We start from the raw sequence: 14,782 nt of genomic DNA, 5'->3' as shown, positions 1-14,782 counted from the left end.
GCCCACATTCACAGCCCTCAGCAAGGCCTGTGAGAGTTAGTCACTTAAATATAATGCTATTTCCAAAGCTCATTCATTCATTCATTCATAAATGTTTAGCAAGCGCTGATGTTTGCCAGGTGCTGCTCTGAGCACCGTGAATGGGTCATTAAACCCCACAGAGGTTCCAGCTTTCAAGAAACTTATATCCTTGGCAGTTGGGAAGGGGACAGGCCATAAAAAAAAAACAGAACAAATAAGTAAGAAAATTTCAGATCACAATATGTGCAAAGAAGAAAATGAATAGGGATGCGATGGAGTGTGATGGGGGGTCTGCTGAGTACTCAGGGAAGGCTGCTATGAGGAAGGTTATATTTGAGCTGAGACCTGGATGACAAGAATAAACTAGTCACGTTAACATCTGGAGGCTGAGGGTTTCAGGCACAGGGAACAGCACAGCACATGCAAAGTCCTCAAGGCAAGAAAGAGCTTTGTGTTTTCCAGGTTTAGAAAAAAGGCTGAGTTCAAATCCACTACTCTCCAGTAATCCTCTGCAAGGATTATTACACCCATTTTGTAGAGATGGAAACTGAGGCTTGGTCAGGAAGGTTAGTTTCTTGGTCAAAATCACAACTGGGAGTACGCATTTTGGCTGTAAAGCCACTATTGTCGGCTGGGCATGGTGGCTCATGCCTGTAATCCCAGCACTTTGGGAGGCCGAGGCGGGCAGATCACCTGAGGTCAGGAGTTCAAGACCAGCCTGACCAACATGGAGAAATCCCGTCTCTACTAAAAATACAAATTAGCCGGGCGTGGTAGCGCATGGCTGTGGTCCCAGCTGCTCGGGAGGCTGAGGCAGGAGAATCATTTGAACCCGGGAGGCGGAGGTTGTGGTGAGCCGAAAGCATGCCATTGCACTCCAGCCTGGGCAATAAGAGGGAAACTCCATCTAAAAAAAAAAGCCACTATTTTGGGGTGTGTGTATATGTGTGTTTTTTAAATAAAAAAATCAAGTTCAGCAACCATGTGTCCTAAATTATCTAGAATGGTCAAATTTCTAAAATTCTTTTTTTTTTTGGAGACAGAGTCTCGCTCTGTGGCTGTGAGTGCAGTGGCATGATCCCAGCTCACTGCAACCTCCACCTCTCGAGTTCAAGCAATTTTCCTGCCTCGGCCTCCCAAGTAGCTGAGATTACAGGCGCCTGCCACCATGCCTGGCTAATTTTTGTATTTTTAGTAGAGACGGGGTTTCACCATGTTGGCCAGCGTGGTCTCAAACTCCTGACCTCAGGTGATCCACCCGCCTCAGCCTCCCAAAATGCTGGGATTACAGGTGTGAGCCACCGTGCCCGGCCCTAAAATTCTTATTGTCTTCTGGACAGTCATCTTGGACATGCTCTGTGTTCCATATCATGACTTCAAGCCTTGCCTTTTTCATGTACTACCAGTGGGATCCTAGACTAGCACTTTACCACTTTAAGCCTCAGTTTCCTAATTTGTAAATAAGGAGTAATTGTAATCATTCCAATATCACAGGCTTGCTGGGAGGATTAAATGAGATCATCCACATCAGGGTCAGCACAGTGCCCGGAATGGGGTACCTGTGAAATTAATGGTGATTCTTCTTTATTGTTACCTTGGAAAATGGAGGCCAACTGCAGGATGATCGTGGCTCCAAGGAGCTGGGGACCCAAGACATGCACAGAGAAAGAGAGACCAACAATGTGAGGCCTCTGATGCATGAGACAGGCAGGGGAGTAGTGGGAGGAGAGAGCAAGAGTGAGCAGCCAGGAGGGCCTCTTCCCTTCCCTTTACTCAGCCTGTCACTCCTCTGCTAGGATCCTGCATTGACACATCTTGTACTTCCTGTTTCCAGGGAAATTCCTCGCTGCCGGACTGCGCCCACCCTTGAGGACCTCACATTCTCTTTGGGCAGAGCGGAAGCCAGACAGAGACAGGGACTACGAAGCGACAATCCCCAGCCCTGTGTGTGCAAGGAGCCCCCGAGGGGCAGGCAGCCACGCTGCAGAAGGCTAGACTCTCCGACCCCCAGGGAGCCTGGTGTGGGCTGCAGGGACAGAACGCTTCTCAGAGGAGGTAGGGACCCCATGGAGTACGTGACGCCTGGCCCTCCAGCTGCATGCTCCAGTTATCAGGACAGAGACCCCTCCCCACCCATTCCCAGGCTTCCCTGGCTCCCTGCTCTGCTGCTGGGAGGCCCTGTCACCACACATGCGCGTGCACGCACTAACATACACACACCCCTCTCAGGCACCCCCGGAAGACCAGCTGCAGCTGGGGGTGGGGGTGCACGGAGCACAGCCAGGGTTCTCAGATCCCTAGCCTGCTCTCCCACCCCGCCCTAGCCCCCAACTGCCGAGCTGCTTCTAGTTTTAAAGCAAAACATGACTCTGTCCTTCCTGCTGCTCAGTGGCAGCAACACTGCCTGGGGTTATTTTTAGCAGGGATGCAGGGAAGGCACAGTTCTCCTTGACTTTAACTAGGGACAACCCCCACCCCTCAGCCAAGACTCACTGGAGGAGGCCGGGTACGGAAACCCCCCTCCCAGAAAGGGGAAATGGTGTGTTTTCTGTTCCTTCAATTCACTAGAATGGGAGTTGCAGTCAAGCTTGGGGTTGAACTGATGGGAAATTCTAGGTTCCAAAGCCTGTGGGCTCTGCCCCATCCCTGGTCTCTGTGTTTCCATGAATCCGGGAAGCAAGAGGCACATGGTGTCTGGAGTCGAGGTGCCCTGTCTGTGGGTGTTGGTGTCCCTGGGAAACTGCTTGGTTATAGCCAGGCTCTGTGGACTACACAGGGGCACCAGGCATTGTGGGTGGTGTTTCACAGGCGCTGGCTAAATAATTCATTAAACTGAGCATGTCCGTTCCGTGTATTTTTCTGTATGTGTATCTTTTAGATGCTAGCAGTACTTTATGAGGTATAATGTACATACATTCCACATCCAGTAAAATGCACAGATCTTAAGTGTACAGCCTGATGAATTTTGACAAATATATCTGCCCATGTAACCATCACCTAGATCAAGATTTCAGACATTTTCACCACCTCCAAATTCCTTCGTGCCCCCTTCCAGTCAGTCTCTACCGCAGAGGCAACTGATTCTGATTTCTATCACCATAGATCATGTGTGTGTTTTACAAAGTTAAAAGAAATACAGCTGCTGTCATAGAAGAGGGAAATGAGCAATAAAGTTCTTAACATGAAAGGGAGGCCTCAAAAAAGGGGTTACTGGAACTGGAAAAAATGAAGGTATCATTGGCTGGGAAACAGGAGGTTTCAGACCCAGCCCAACCCCTCAGGGTTGGGACCAGAGGGCTTGGGACACTTCTTGGAGCAGAGAGGCTGTGAGTTGGGAGGGGGCAAGGGGAGGGCCAGCTGTGGCTCAGGCCCAGCTGCCTCCTGTTCTGCTAGAGGTCCCTGCCCCTCCTCCAGGCCCTCCCCACTGCACAGTTTCAGCAAGGCCAAGGCTGCAAGGAAAGGTTCTCTCAGGGGCATCTACCCAGAGGCAGAGTTTAGGGCCCCTGTGTAGTTAGATTATTTGTTTTTCTTGCCTTCCTCTTCAAGGTTTGGAACTCCTGTATCCTTTGTCCTGCCTGGGGAGGGGAGAGGCTGAGGCTGTCAAAGTAGAGTGCTAAGGAAGAGTCATGATGCTTTTCATTCTTTCCTTCCTTTCTTCATTCAAAAACAGTTATTTGAGCACCTGTGTTGTGCTGTAGATTCTGCTAGGTGCTGAGGATAGGAGAATAACTAAGCCACATTTTAGCTTGCTATGGAGTCCGAATTGGGATTCCCAGGTGAGGCCGGGCCTTATACCTCCTTTGTATTGGAGATGAGGGGCCCAAAGAGGGGAAGTGACTTATTCAGAATCACACAGCTAGCTGCTGGCAGAGGAAGGCAAAGAACAGGGATCCCTGATTCAGCCCTAGATGGGGATAAGAAAGCAAAGGAAACCAAACCAACAGCCGATTCCCCGGTGTTCCCTCCTGCAAGCTTTTTAGGGTGACAAAAATCACTGACCTGGAGTAAGAGGACCTCATTTCTACTGCTAGGTCTTAGAAACACTTCCTCTCTCTGGGCCTCAGCTTTCTTCCATGAACATGCGGGAGGCAGCTTGCAGAGGACCTCTGGCTCTCGCGAGCACACCCTGCATTTTCCCGCCTCTGTGCCTTTGCTCGAGTTGTTTCTGCCGCCTGGAATGCCCCCTTTCCCCTACCACTTCCTTCCTCTGACATTCTCCTAATCGTTTATGGCCTAATTCAAATGCCGCCCCCAGAGGCCCCCCAGTCCTTGGACATCTGGGGAGTGGTGTCATCCAGGTCTCCACTACTAGAACAGAGACAGAGCTGCCTCCATTTTGCAACCCTCCCATCCTAGGGCACAGCCTTCCAGGGAGATGGGGTCTGTTTTGCCAGCCACCGTTGGAGGAATCGAAGGGACTTATTCCTCCCGCCCTACACTTTCACCTGCCCCTTTTCAATGTTCAGAGACTGATGTCTTCCTTCTGCTGGGCCTCCAAGACATTGTGCTTTCTGCTGGCCATGCCAGCCCAGGCTGGAGCATCAAACCTGGGCACTTCTGGCAAAGGTGGCTGCCCTGGGAGGTGACCCCAGGAAGGATGAGACGGCGGGGCCTCAGCCAGAAGCACAGCTGCCCCACCTCAGTCGTCCAGTCCTCATTCACAAACACCCGGGCAGAAATCCTCCTTCCACCACAAACACATGACTCCTGTTCCCACAGCCATGTCCAGACCCACTCCTACCTGCCTGCCCACAACACCGAGTTTGCAAAAATGTCCCCCACGCTCCCACAGCTCCCCTGCCCCTCCCATGGGTGTGCATTGCCACAGGTGCACATTCATTGCACATACACACAGGGTGCACACAGACATGCACGTGGGCATGTAATGGGCAACACAGATGTGGACACATGCGTGCATACACACAGATGCATACATGGGCATGTAGCCCCACAAACACACGTGCACATGGAGCACACACTCACACATACATGAATACATGGGCACACAGGCACACGTGTGCACACACATGGGCGCACAGGCACACACTCTCACACGCTCTCTCATGATAGGAGGCTCCTCTCCACCCTCAGCTCTCAGGCAAGCCCAGCTCACATGCCTTGAGCTGAGGACACTGTAGGGGAAATGTGGGCTCAGTTGTTGGTTCCCAGCTGCCTCTGGCTTTGTATCCAACTGGAATCTTTTCTATTAATTTTTCCTACTGATGGCCCTGTGGGAATGAGAAAAAGCTCAAGAGCTGTGGGTTTACTCTGGGACAGCACCTTGTTTGGGTGCCTGGCAGGAATAGGGATGGCGGGGGGTGGGGTAAGGATTCCATCACTTCTAGGAACAAAGGTCTCCAAGGAGCTGAGGTTTGGTGAGACCAGTAAACACGAGGCTGGTCTTTGCTCTCACTGCCACACTCCTCCCTCTAGCCCATCCATTCTTCCCATTGCTGCAGATGCCCCATGCCCATGCTCTCCCCTGTGGGGAGGTGGGAAAGTCTTAGAAGAGGGCTCAATCCCAAGGTTGATGTGGCAGCTTTGGGACTGGCAGCAGGGTCCCAGGCAGTCTAGCCCTCTTCAACAGAAGGGTGGCTTCTCCCAGACTCCTCCAGGGCAGCACAGCAGGAATCCAGAGACCAGCCAAGCAGGGGGTAATGTTTGCGACCCAATTACCAGATCTCAAGAGTTGGGTAGGGAGGAAGCTTGGATTCCATTAAATCCAATTCAGCGGCAGTCACTGAGTACAGAGCATGTGCCTGGGATGGGTTGGGGCAGGTAGGAAGGGTGAGGGGTGGCACAGAAATCATAAGACACGGTAACTGTCTTCTAAGAGTGTGTGTGTCTTGGTGTGAGAGACTGGGGAACATCACATAGGCAGAAGAACTCCCGAGAATGAATCTCAAACACCGTGCTGCACACTGAGGCCATCACCTCTGCCCACCCCTCCCAGAGCATACAGACACTGCCACCTGCCTGATCTTCCTGTTGTCTTCCCTATTTTGTTTTTATTTTAGAGTCAGGATTTCTGTTGCCTAGACGAGTGCGGTGGCACAATCGTAGCTCACTGCAACCTTGGACTCCTGGGCTCAAGTGATTCTCCCACCTTGGCCTCTTGAGTACCTAGGACTATGGGTGTGTGCCACCATACCCGGCTAATTTTTAGAAATGTTTTTAGAAACGAGGTCTCCCTACAGTGCCCAGGCTGGGCTCGAACTCCTGGCCTCAAGCAATCCTCCTACCTCGGCGTCTTGAGTTGCTGGGATTACAGATGCGAGCCATTGCCCCCACCTGTCTCCCCTATCTTGGTAACTAATGTTGCATGACAGAAACTTTCGGGCCACCCTAGATTCTGCCCTCCCCTACCTCATCCAATCAGTCCTCATATCGCATGGGTTATTCTTGCCCTATCCTTTCCATCCAATCCCTCCTTAAGGCCTCACCACCACTGCCTTGGCATTTCTCACCACTTCCCTCCCAGGGTTTCTAATGGCACAGGGGCTGGAAGGATCCCATCTTCAGGTTTATACCATCCTCCTCTCTCCATCCTCCACATGGATGCCAGAATGATCTGCCACAAACACACGGCTCATCTGTAACTTAGAGCCCTTTACAGGCTCCCCATTACCATCAGATTGGAAACCCAAATGCCTGGCATGGCACAGCCAGCCGGCCATGCACAGCATGCAACTCGCAGCCTGCCCCCAGCTGCACGTTAAGTTCCAGCCTCATGGAATTCCTCCTGGTTCCCTCAGCTTGCTGTACTGGTGTACACCTCTGAGCCTTTGTACATGCCGTTCCTGCTGCCTGGATGCCCTTTCCTCCTTGACCTAGCAAGGAACTCCAAATCTTTCTAGACTGAGGGGGGCCCTCTTTGTCTCTATTGGAACACATTTTATAATAGTGCTGGCAATAATGGCACTGTTCTGATTACTTTGCACATACATATATATAAACAAGCATATATATATAAGCTTGTTTAAGCCTCATAACAACCTTGATAGGTACTATCATTATCATCTCCATCTTCTAGTTGGGAAAAATGATACACGGAGAGATGAAGTAACCAATTGACCTAAGCTGACGTGCCTAGTAAGTGGCGGAGTGGGATTTACTCACAGCCAGTTTGGCTGAAGATGCTGTGAAATGAATAAATGAATGGACTCATTAACATTTAATGGAATGCCAGGAGCAGTGGCTCACACCTGTAATCCCAGCACTTTGGGAGGCCAAGGCGGGTGGATCACCTGAGGCCAGGAGTTCAAGAGCAGCCTGGCCAACATGGTGAAAACCTGTCTCTACTGAAAATACAAAAATTACGCAGGCGTGGTGGCATGCACCTATAGACTTGGGAGGCTAAAGCAGGAGAATCGCTTGAACCCAGGAGGTGGAGGTTGCAGTGAGCCGACATCGTGCGACTACACTCCAGCCTTTTCTTTCCAAATTAAAAAAATTAATAAATAAATTTAATGGAATGAAGAAGTAGGGCTCACCTTCATTTATGTAAGACATCTGCCACGCTAAACCTATTTTATTTTTATAGAACACAGAATTTTTTTTTTTTTTTTGAGACAGAGTTTCACTCTTGTTGCCTAGGCTGGAGTGCAATGGCACGATAGCTCACTGCAACCTCCATCTCCCAGGTTCAAGCGATTCTCATGCCTCAGCCTCCCAAGTAGCTGGGATTACAGGCTCCCGCCACCATGCTCAGCTAATTTTTGTATTTTTAGTAGAGATGGGGTTTTGTCATGTTGGCCAGGCTGGTCTCAAACTCCTGACCTCAGGTGATCTGCCCACCTTGGCCTCCCAAAGTGCTGTGATTACAGGCGTGAGCCACCACACCCAGCAGAACACAGAGTATTTTGAAGAAAATACATTTTGAGAGTAAAATCCTATACATCTTGTTTTTCTTTTCTTTTTTTTTTTTTTTGAGGCAGTGTTTCGCTCTTGTCACCCAGGCTGAAGTGCAATGTCTCCATCTCGGCTCACTGCAACCACTGCCTCCTGGGTTCAAGCAATTCTCCTGCCTCAGCCTCCTGAGTAGCTGGGATTACAGGCACATGCCACCACGCCCGGCTAATTTTTGTATTTTTAGTAGAGACGGGGTTTCACCATGTTGGCCAGGCTGGTCTTGAACTCCTGACCTCAGGTGATCCACCCACCTCAGCCTCCCAAAGTGCTGGGATTACAGGTGTGAGCCACTGTGCCTGGCCGCCTAAGATTTTTCAAGTCAGTAAAGAGAGATGTCCTCATAACCCCTTAAGGACCTGCTTAACCATGGGTGGGTGTCAGCTCCTTACTAAGCAAGCCCTGTGGTTTTATGCCCCCAGGGAGACAGACCCCCTGAGAAGTGACCCCAGGCCTCAGTTGAAAGAGCCTCACATCTCAGTGGATGGGCTGGGGACAGAATTGTTCCAATCAGGGATGTCTGTGAGGGATTTCTGGAAGAGGTGAGATTTGGGCTGAGTCTTGACAGATTTTGACAATCAGAGGGAAGGGAGAAGGGCAGGAAGTCAAGAAAATATTTGGACCCCAAGGCTTAGTAGTTGGACAGGTGGGGCAAGAAGGCAGGGGAGAGAGGATGTGAGGGTGTGAGTCCGGAGAGGCAGGTCACAACCCTTCTGGGTGGCTGCACAGTTTTGGACAAGTGGCTGCTTTTTACATTCTCTGCTACCCTTTATGCAAATTGAGCATTTAAGTCTGGGAAAAAGCTCACAGGAGAATCCCCAGGGCAGGAGCGTTTGCTGCTCCTTGGGCCCCCACCCGCCAGCTAGCAGCTTCAGCCTCCTACACTGACTTCTGAGAGGTGCTGTGACTTAGAGCATATGTCACAGCTGTGCTGCTTGCTAGAAGGGTAGGTCTTTTAAAACCTCTGTGCCTTCATTTCCTTAACTGTCAAAGGGTGGTAGTGTCTACCTCATAAGGTTGTTGTTGGAGATTAAATTAGTGAAGGCACCTTAGACCATCTAGACCACCAGCTTCATTAAGTGCCTAGTAGACATTAGCTAATATTGTCACTGGAGCCAACGGTCTTCATAATGAGGCAAAATTCCATTGGGCTGTCCCTCTTCTAGGCCACAGGATTTGGCCTTGGCTGCTGCCTCATTCTAGTCCTAAGGTTCCCCCAACAAGTGTGGCTCCCATTGACCTGAGCCACATCCTCCTCACTCACCACATGCCCCAAGGAGTCACTCCCCTCTTTTTGCCCCACCCGCTTATGCCCACTCTACTAATACTGGCTTCATGTTATAAGATTTTTTTCTTTCTTTCTTCTTCTTCTTTTTTTTTTTTTTTTTTTTTTTTTTAGAGACCAGATCTTGCATTGTCGCCTGGGCTGGAGTGCAGTAGCGTGATCACGGCTCACTGCAGCCTTAACCTCCAGGGCTCAAGTGATCCTCCCACCTCAGCCTCCCGAGTAGCTGGGACTACAGGCACCCACCACCACACCTGGCTTTGGGATAAAATTAGTTTTGCTTTGTGCCCACAGGACCTGAACAGGAAAGCAAAACTGTGATGAAGGTTTACTAAGTAGTTTTGGGGAGTGCCCAGGCCACACGGCCAGCTTCAGTTCTAGGGTCAGCCCAGTTCCTGCCATCAGAAGTGAGTCTCAGAAGACAAGGCACTGGTGCCTCAGCATCTCCCTGAGGGTAGCCAGCTTACCACCCTGCATGTTGCCAGGCTTGGGAGATACCTGTTGGCGGTTTGCATGACAGGGTGAAAGCAGGATCTAGCTATGCAATGACAGCCCTCGGATCTCTGAGAACTAGGACAGGATGGTAGACAAATCTGGCTCCTTGCTGTGAAGGGGCAGGTAGTGAGAGAACTGGCTTACAAAACAAAGCCTGGGCCCTTTCCTAGTGCCAGGCCCAACTAGCTCTTCCTTAGCAAACCATAAGGGTCTCAATGCTTCTCTTTGAACTTCCAGGCATATCTCCCTGGAAGATACCTACCACCCCTTACCCTCCTTACCCCCTTCTGGGGCTTTCTCCTGACACCTCCCATTCTGCAAAAGCCTTCTCTAAGATTCCCCTGTAAAATGGAAACAAACAAACAACTCTGTGGCAAGGGTTGAGATGATGGAGTTGGCCTTAATAGTTAGAAATTCCAGGTGACAGGCTTAATTCACTTTGGCGCAGGGGATAAAGGGAAAAAAGAGAGCGGGTAACAAACAATTATTCGCAAGCTATTTTCTAGAAAATACAGAGAGGCCAGGTGTGGCTCATGCCTATAATCCCAGCACTTTGGGAGGCTGAGGCGGGAGGATTGCTTGAGCCCAGAAGTTTGAGGCCAGCCTGGGCGACATAGGGACACGCTGTTTCTACTTTTTTTTTTTTTTTTTTAATTAGCCCAGTGCGATTGTACACACCTGTAGTCCCAGCAACTTGGGAGGCTTAAGTAGGAGGATCATGAGCCAGGAGTTCAAGGTTACAGTGAACTATGATTGCACCACTGCACTCTAGCCTGGGCGATAGAGCGAGACTGTCTCAAAAAACAAAAACAAAAAAACAGACAGAAGTAGAAACATAATGTACCAGACTAGTAAGTACACACACACACTGTGTGTTTTAAATCAACTTTACATGCGCATAATTTACTTATGATAAAATGCACCCATTTAAGTGTACAGTTTGATGAGTTTTGACAAATGTTTACCTGTGTAATGTCTATCACAATATAGATTAATTCCTCCACTCTAAAAGCTTCCCTGTTTCTTTTTCTTTTCTTTCTTTCCTTTCCTCTCCTCTCCTCTCCTCTCCTTTTTTTTGAAGTGGAGTCTTGCTCTGTTGCCCAGGCTGGAGCACAGTGGCACGGCCTCAGCTCACTGTAGCCTTCACCTCCCGGGTTCGAGCAATTCTCCTGCCTCAGCCTCCTGAGTAGCTGGGATTACAGGCACCCGCCACCAAGCCCAGCTAATTTTTGTATTTTTAGTAGAGACAGGGTTTCACCATGTTGGCCAGGCTGGTCTTGAACTCCTGACCTCAGGTGATGCACCCACCTTGGCCTCCCAAACTGTTAGGATTACAGCATGACCCACAGCTCCCGGCCTTCTTTTTTTTTTTTTTTTCTTTTGAGACAGGGACTTTGTCGCCCAGGCTGGAGTGCAGTGGCGAGATCATGGCTCACTGCAGCCTCAACTTCCCAGACTCAAGTGATCCTCTCACTTCAGCCTCCCAAGTAGCTGGGACTACAGGTGCGAGCCACCACTCTTGGCTTTTTTTTCTTTTTGTAGAAACAGAGTTTCACCATGTTGCCCAAGCTGGTCTTGACTTCGCGGACTCAAGCCATCTGCCTACCTCAGCCTCCCAAAGTGATGGGATTACGGGCATGAGCCACTGCACTGGCTGTGTTTGTTTCTTTTTGCAATCAATCGCTACCTGGCCCAAGCAAGGGCCCATCCCTACCCGGTCCAGTCTGCTTTCTACCAGTATAGATTAGATTTATATTTTCTAGAATTTTACATAAATGGAGTCACACAGTATATACTCTTTTGTATCTTGGCTTCTTTTGCTCAACTTAATGTTTATAAGATTTGTTCGTGTTTTTGCACATATTAAGTAGTGTGTTCCTTTTTATTGCTGTATTGTATTCCACTAGATGGTTATACCATAGTTTGTTTATTCATTCTCCTGTTGATGGACATTATGGTTGTTTGTCATTTTGGGCTATTATGAAAAAGTTGCTGTGAACACTCTTCTACAGCTCCTTTTGAGGACACATGTTTTTATTTGTCTTGGGAGCAGAATTGCTGAGTCGTATGGCAAATGTGTGTATGCTTAACTTCAAAAGAAAACTGCTAAACTGTGTTCCAAAGTGACTGTATGTTCTCACCAGCAAAGTATGACAGTTCCAACTGTTCCACATTTTGACCAGCTCTTGGTATCATTGGCTTTTTATTTTTCACACCTTTTTTTTTTTGAGACAAGATCTCACTCTGTAGCGCAGGTTGGAGTGTAGTTGTGCAATCATGACTCACTATAGCCTCAACCTCCCTGGGCTCAGGTGATCCTCCCACTGAGTAGCTGGAACTGCAGGCACACCACCATGCCCAGTTAATTGTTTTATGTTTTGTAGAGACTGGGTTTCCTATGTTGTCCAGGCTGGTCTCGAACTCCTGGGCTCAAGCAATCCTCCTACCTCAGCCTCCCAAAGAGCTGGGATTACAGGCATGAACCACTGCGCCCAGCCCTATGTTTTGCACTTCTGGTTAGGTGCAGAGGATCTCTCGCTGAAGCACACAGATGCTGCCCTGCTACCTTTTCTGAAGCTACTCTTCCTGCCCCTTGTTCTTCCACAACTGCTCTGAGCATCCTTCTGTTTCTGCATGTGCTAGGATCATTTCCTGGAATTCTCATCTTTTGGGCCTTAGCACAAATGTTGCCTCCTCAGAGGTCTTCCCTCACTACCCTCTCTAATGGAATTCTCAAGACTTTTTATCGCATTACCCTGTTTGTCCCGTGAGAACATCAGCTCCATGAACAAACATCTCTTGTCTGTTTTTTTTTTTACCTAAAAGCAGTGCTTTAAAGATCATAGATGCACAATATATATTGCTGAATGGACTTGCAAGTCTAAAGTGTATGTTCAACATATTGACCTTTGGGGTCCTGGGAATGAAAGCGTTTGCATGACATCAAATCAGAAATATTTAAAGCATAAGTTATTTTTATTGTCTGGGACTGTTCTATTTTGCATGTAAATATCTTAAAATCCTGCAAATATAGAAAACAAGAAAGAAAAGAAAAAACAACCATAGTTTCATCAAACTATGTTGATTTCTAAAAAATCAAATTGTTATGGTTTAGAAATACAAATCATTTTTTAATTAGTTTAAAACTGATTTTTAAAAGTTCACTTTTGAATAAGTTATATTTGCACATGGTGAAAAATTCAAACAGTATATACTTCTGGAAAATGTTGCCCATATGCGAACATAGTTATATCTTTCTGCACTTTTTTCCAAAAATAGTATCATACTGTATGCATTGCTTGCACCTTGCTTTTGCATTTAACAATTTATCTTAGAAATCATTCCACATCATTATATGTGATATGGTTTGGACCCAGTAGGAGGTAATTGAATCATGGGGGCAGGTCTTTCCCATGCTGTTCTCATAATAGTGAATAAGTCTCACGAGATCCAATGGTTCTATAAGGGGGAGTTTTCCCGTGCAAGCACTCTTCGCCTGCCAATATCCACGTAAGATGTGATTTGCTCCTCCTTGCCTTCCATCATGATTGTGAGGCCTCCCCAGCTATGCAGAACTGTAAGTCCAATTAAACTTCTTTCTTTAGTAACTTGCCCAGTCTCAGGTATGTCTTTATCAGCAGCGTGAAAACAGACTAATATAATATCTATCAGTTAAGATTAGGTTTGGCTGCTAGTGAAAGAAAATTAAAAATATCAGTGTCTTGCAAAATTAGACATTGATTTCTCTCTCTAATGAAGTCCAAAGGTAAGTGGCCAGGCAATACCAGGATTCCATAATTATCAGGGACCTAGGATCCTTCTGTCATTTTTATGCCATCTTCAACATGGGGCTTCTACCTCATGTTTCAATATGGCTGTCTGAGCTCCTGCCATTACATCTGCATCTATCCAGCAAAACAAACAAACAAACAAACAAAAACATTAACAAGAACACAGGGGCACACCTACCAGCAAAGGAGGCTGGGAAATTTATTCTTTATTCCAAATAGCCATATACCCAGCTCAAAAATCAGAGGGGAAGAGAAGAATGGATACTGGGGCACAACTAACAATCTCTGTTACAAGTATACATAGATTTGCCTCATTAAAAAAAAAAATGCTATATAGAATTCCATTGTACAAGGCCAGGCGCAATGGCTCATGCTTGTAATCCCAGCACTTTGGGAGGCCAAGGTGGGTAGATCACCTGAGGTCAGGAGTTTGAGACCAGCCTGGCCAACATGGTGAAAGCCCACCTCTACTATATATACAAAAATTACCCAGGCGTGGTGGTGCACACCCATCCCAGCTACTCAGGAGGCTGAGGCAGGAGAATCTCTTGAACCTGAGAGGTGGAGGTTGCAATGAGCTGAGATCACACCACTGCACTCCAGCCTGGGTGACAGAGGGAGACTCTGTCCCAAGAAAAAGAATTCCATTGTACGAATGTACCATTATTTATTTAACCAGTTGGCAGACCTTAAGTTATTTATACTCAGTACAAATGATGCTGTAAGGAACTAGATCTTTATACCTACCTACTTCCTTGGCATATATGGGAATATTTCTGCAGGAAAAATTCCTAGAAGTGGAATTATCAGGTCAAAGACTGTGTTAGTTATTGCCAAATTTCCCTCTGAAGAAGTTTCATCAATCTTTGCTCTTACCAATAATATTTTCCCACACCTTGACCGACCTACTGTATTACAGAACTGTAGCAGTCTTCTAGGGAGAAAATGATGTATCTTTCTGACAGGTATAACATGGTCTTTGTTTACATTTTTCTTATCACAAGTTAGGTCAGAAGTCAGGAGATCATATCCTTTGCCAGAACATGGAGCTGGAGGCCATTATCTTTAGCAAACTAATGCAAGAACAGAAAACCAAATACCGCATGTTCTCACATGTACGTAGGAGCTAAATGATGAGAACACATGGACACAAAGAGGGGAACAACAGATACTGGGGCTTACTTGAGGGTGGAGGGTGGGAGGAGAGAGAAGGGAGAGGATCAGAAAAAATAACTCTTGGGTGCTAACTTAGTACCTGGATGACAAAATAACCTGTACAACA

General features: G+C 47.8%; 1 protein-coding gene across 1 annotated transcript in view, besides 3 other annotated features; it reads left to right on the top strand.

Moving 5' to 3' along the window:
• FKBP5 (FKBP prolyl isomerase 5) overlaps positions 1-14,782 on the top strand; it is a 154,994-nt gene that overhangs the window by 6,180 nt on the left and 134,032 nt on the right. Inside the window, exon 2 of the mRNA NM_001145775.3 lies at positions 1,856-2,076. The gene's annotated coding sequence lies outside the window, so the exon portion shown is untranslated. The remainder of the gene's footprint in view (positions 1-1,855; positions 2,077-14,782) is intronic.
• Positions 1,662-1,901: an enhancer, noted in NCBI's record as "active region_24411". NCBI's record gives its function as "activates an Ori minimal core promoter by ATAC-STARR-seq in GM12878 lymphoblastoid cells {active_cell/tissue: GM12878}" and the evidence as "EXISTENCE:reporter gene assay evidence [ECO:0000049][PMID:35858748]".
• Positions 3,658-3,952: a silencer, noted in NCBI's record as "tiled region #8621; K562 Repressive non-DNase unmatched - State 7:EnhWF". NCBI's record gives its function as "represses a minimal TATA promoter and a strong SV40 promoter by Sharpr-MPRA in K562 cells {active_cell/tissue: K562}" and the evidence as "EXISTENCE:reporter gene assay evidence [ECO:0000049][PMID:27701403]".
• Positions 4,340-4,905: an enhancer, noted in NCBI's record as "H3K27ac-H3K4me1 hESC enhancer chr6:35685276-35685841 (GRCh37/hg19 assembly coordinates)". NCBI's record gives its function as "activates a minimal SCP1, AML or CMV promoter by ChIP-STARR-seq in primed H9 embryonic stem cells {active_cell/tissue: H9 hESC(primed)}" and the evidence as "EXISTENCE:reporter gene assay evidence [ECO:0000049][PMID:30033119]".

The sequence above is a fragment of the Homo sapiens genome, chromosome 6, assembly GCF_000001405.40.
Source record: "Homo sapiens chromosome 6, GRCh38.p14 Primary Assembly".
Taxonomy (NCBI): Eukaryota; Metazoa; Chordata; class Mammalia; order Primates; family Hominidae; genus Homo; species Homo sapiens.
The sequence above is the reverse complement of the archived record's forward strand: the minus strand, read 5'-3'. Positions and strand labels throughout refer to the sequence as shown.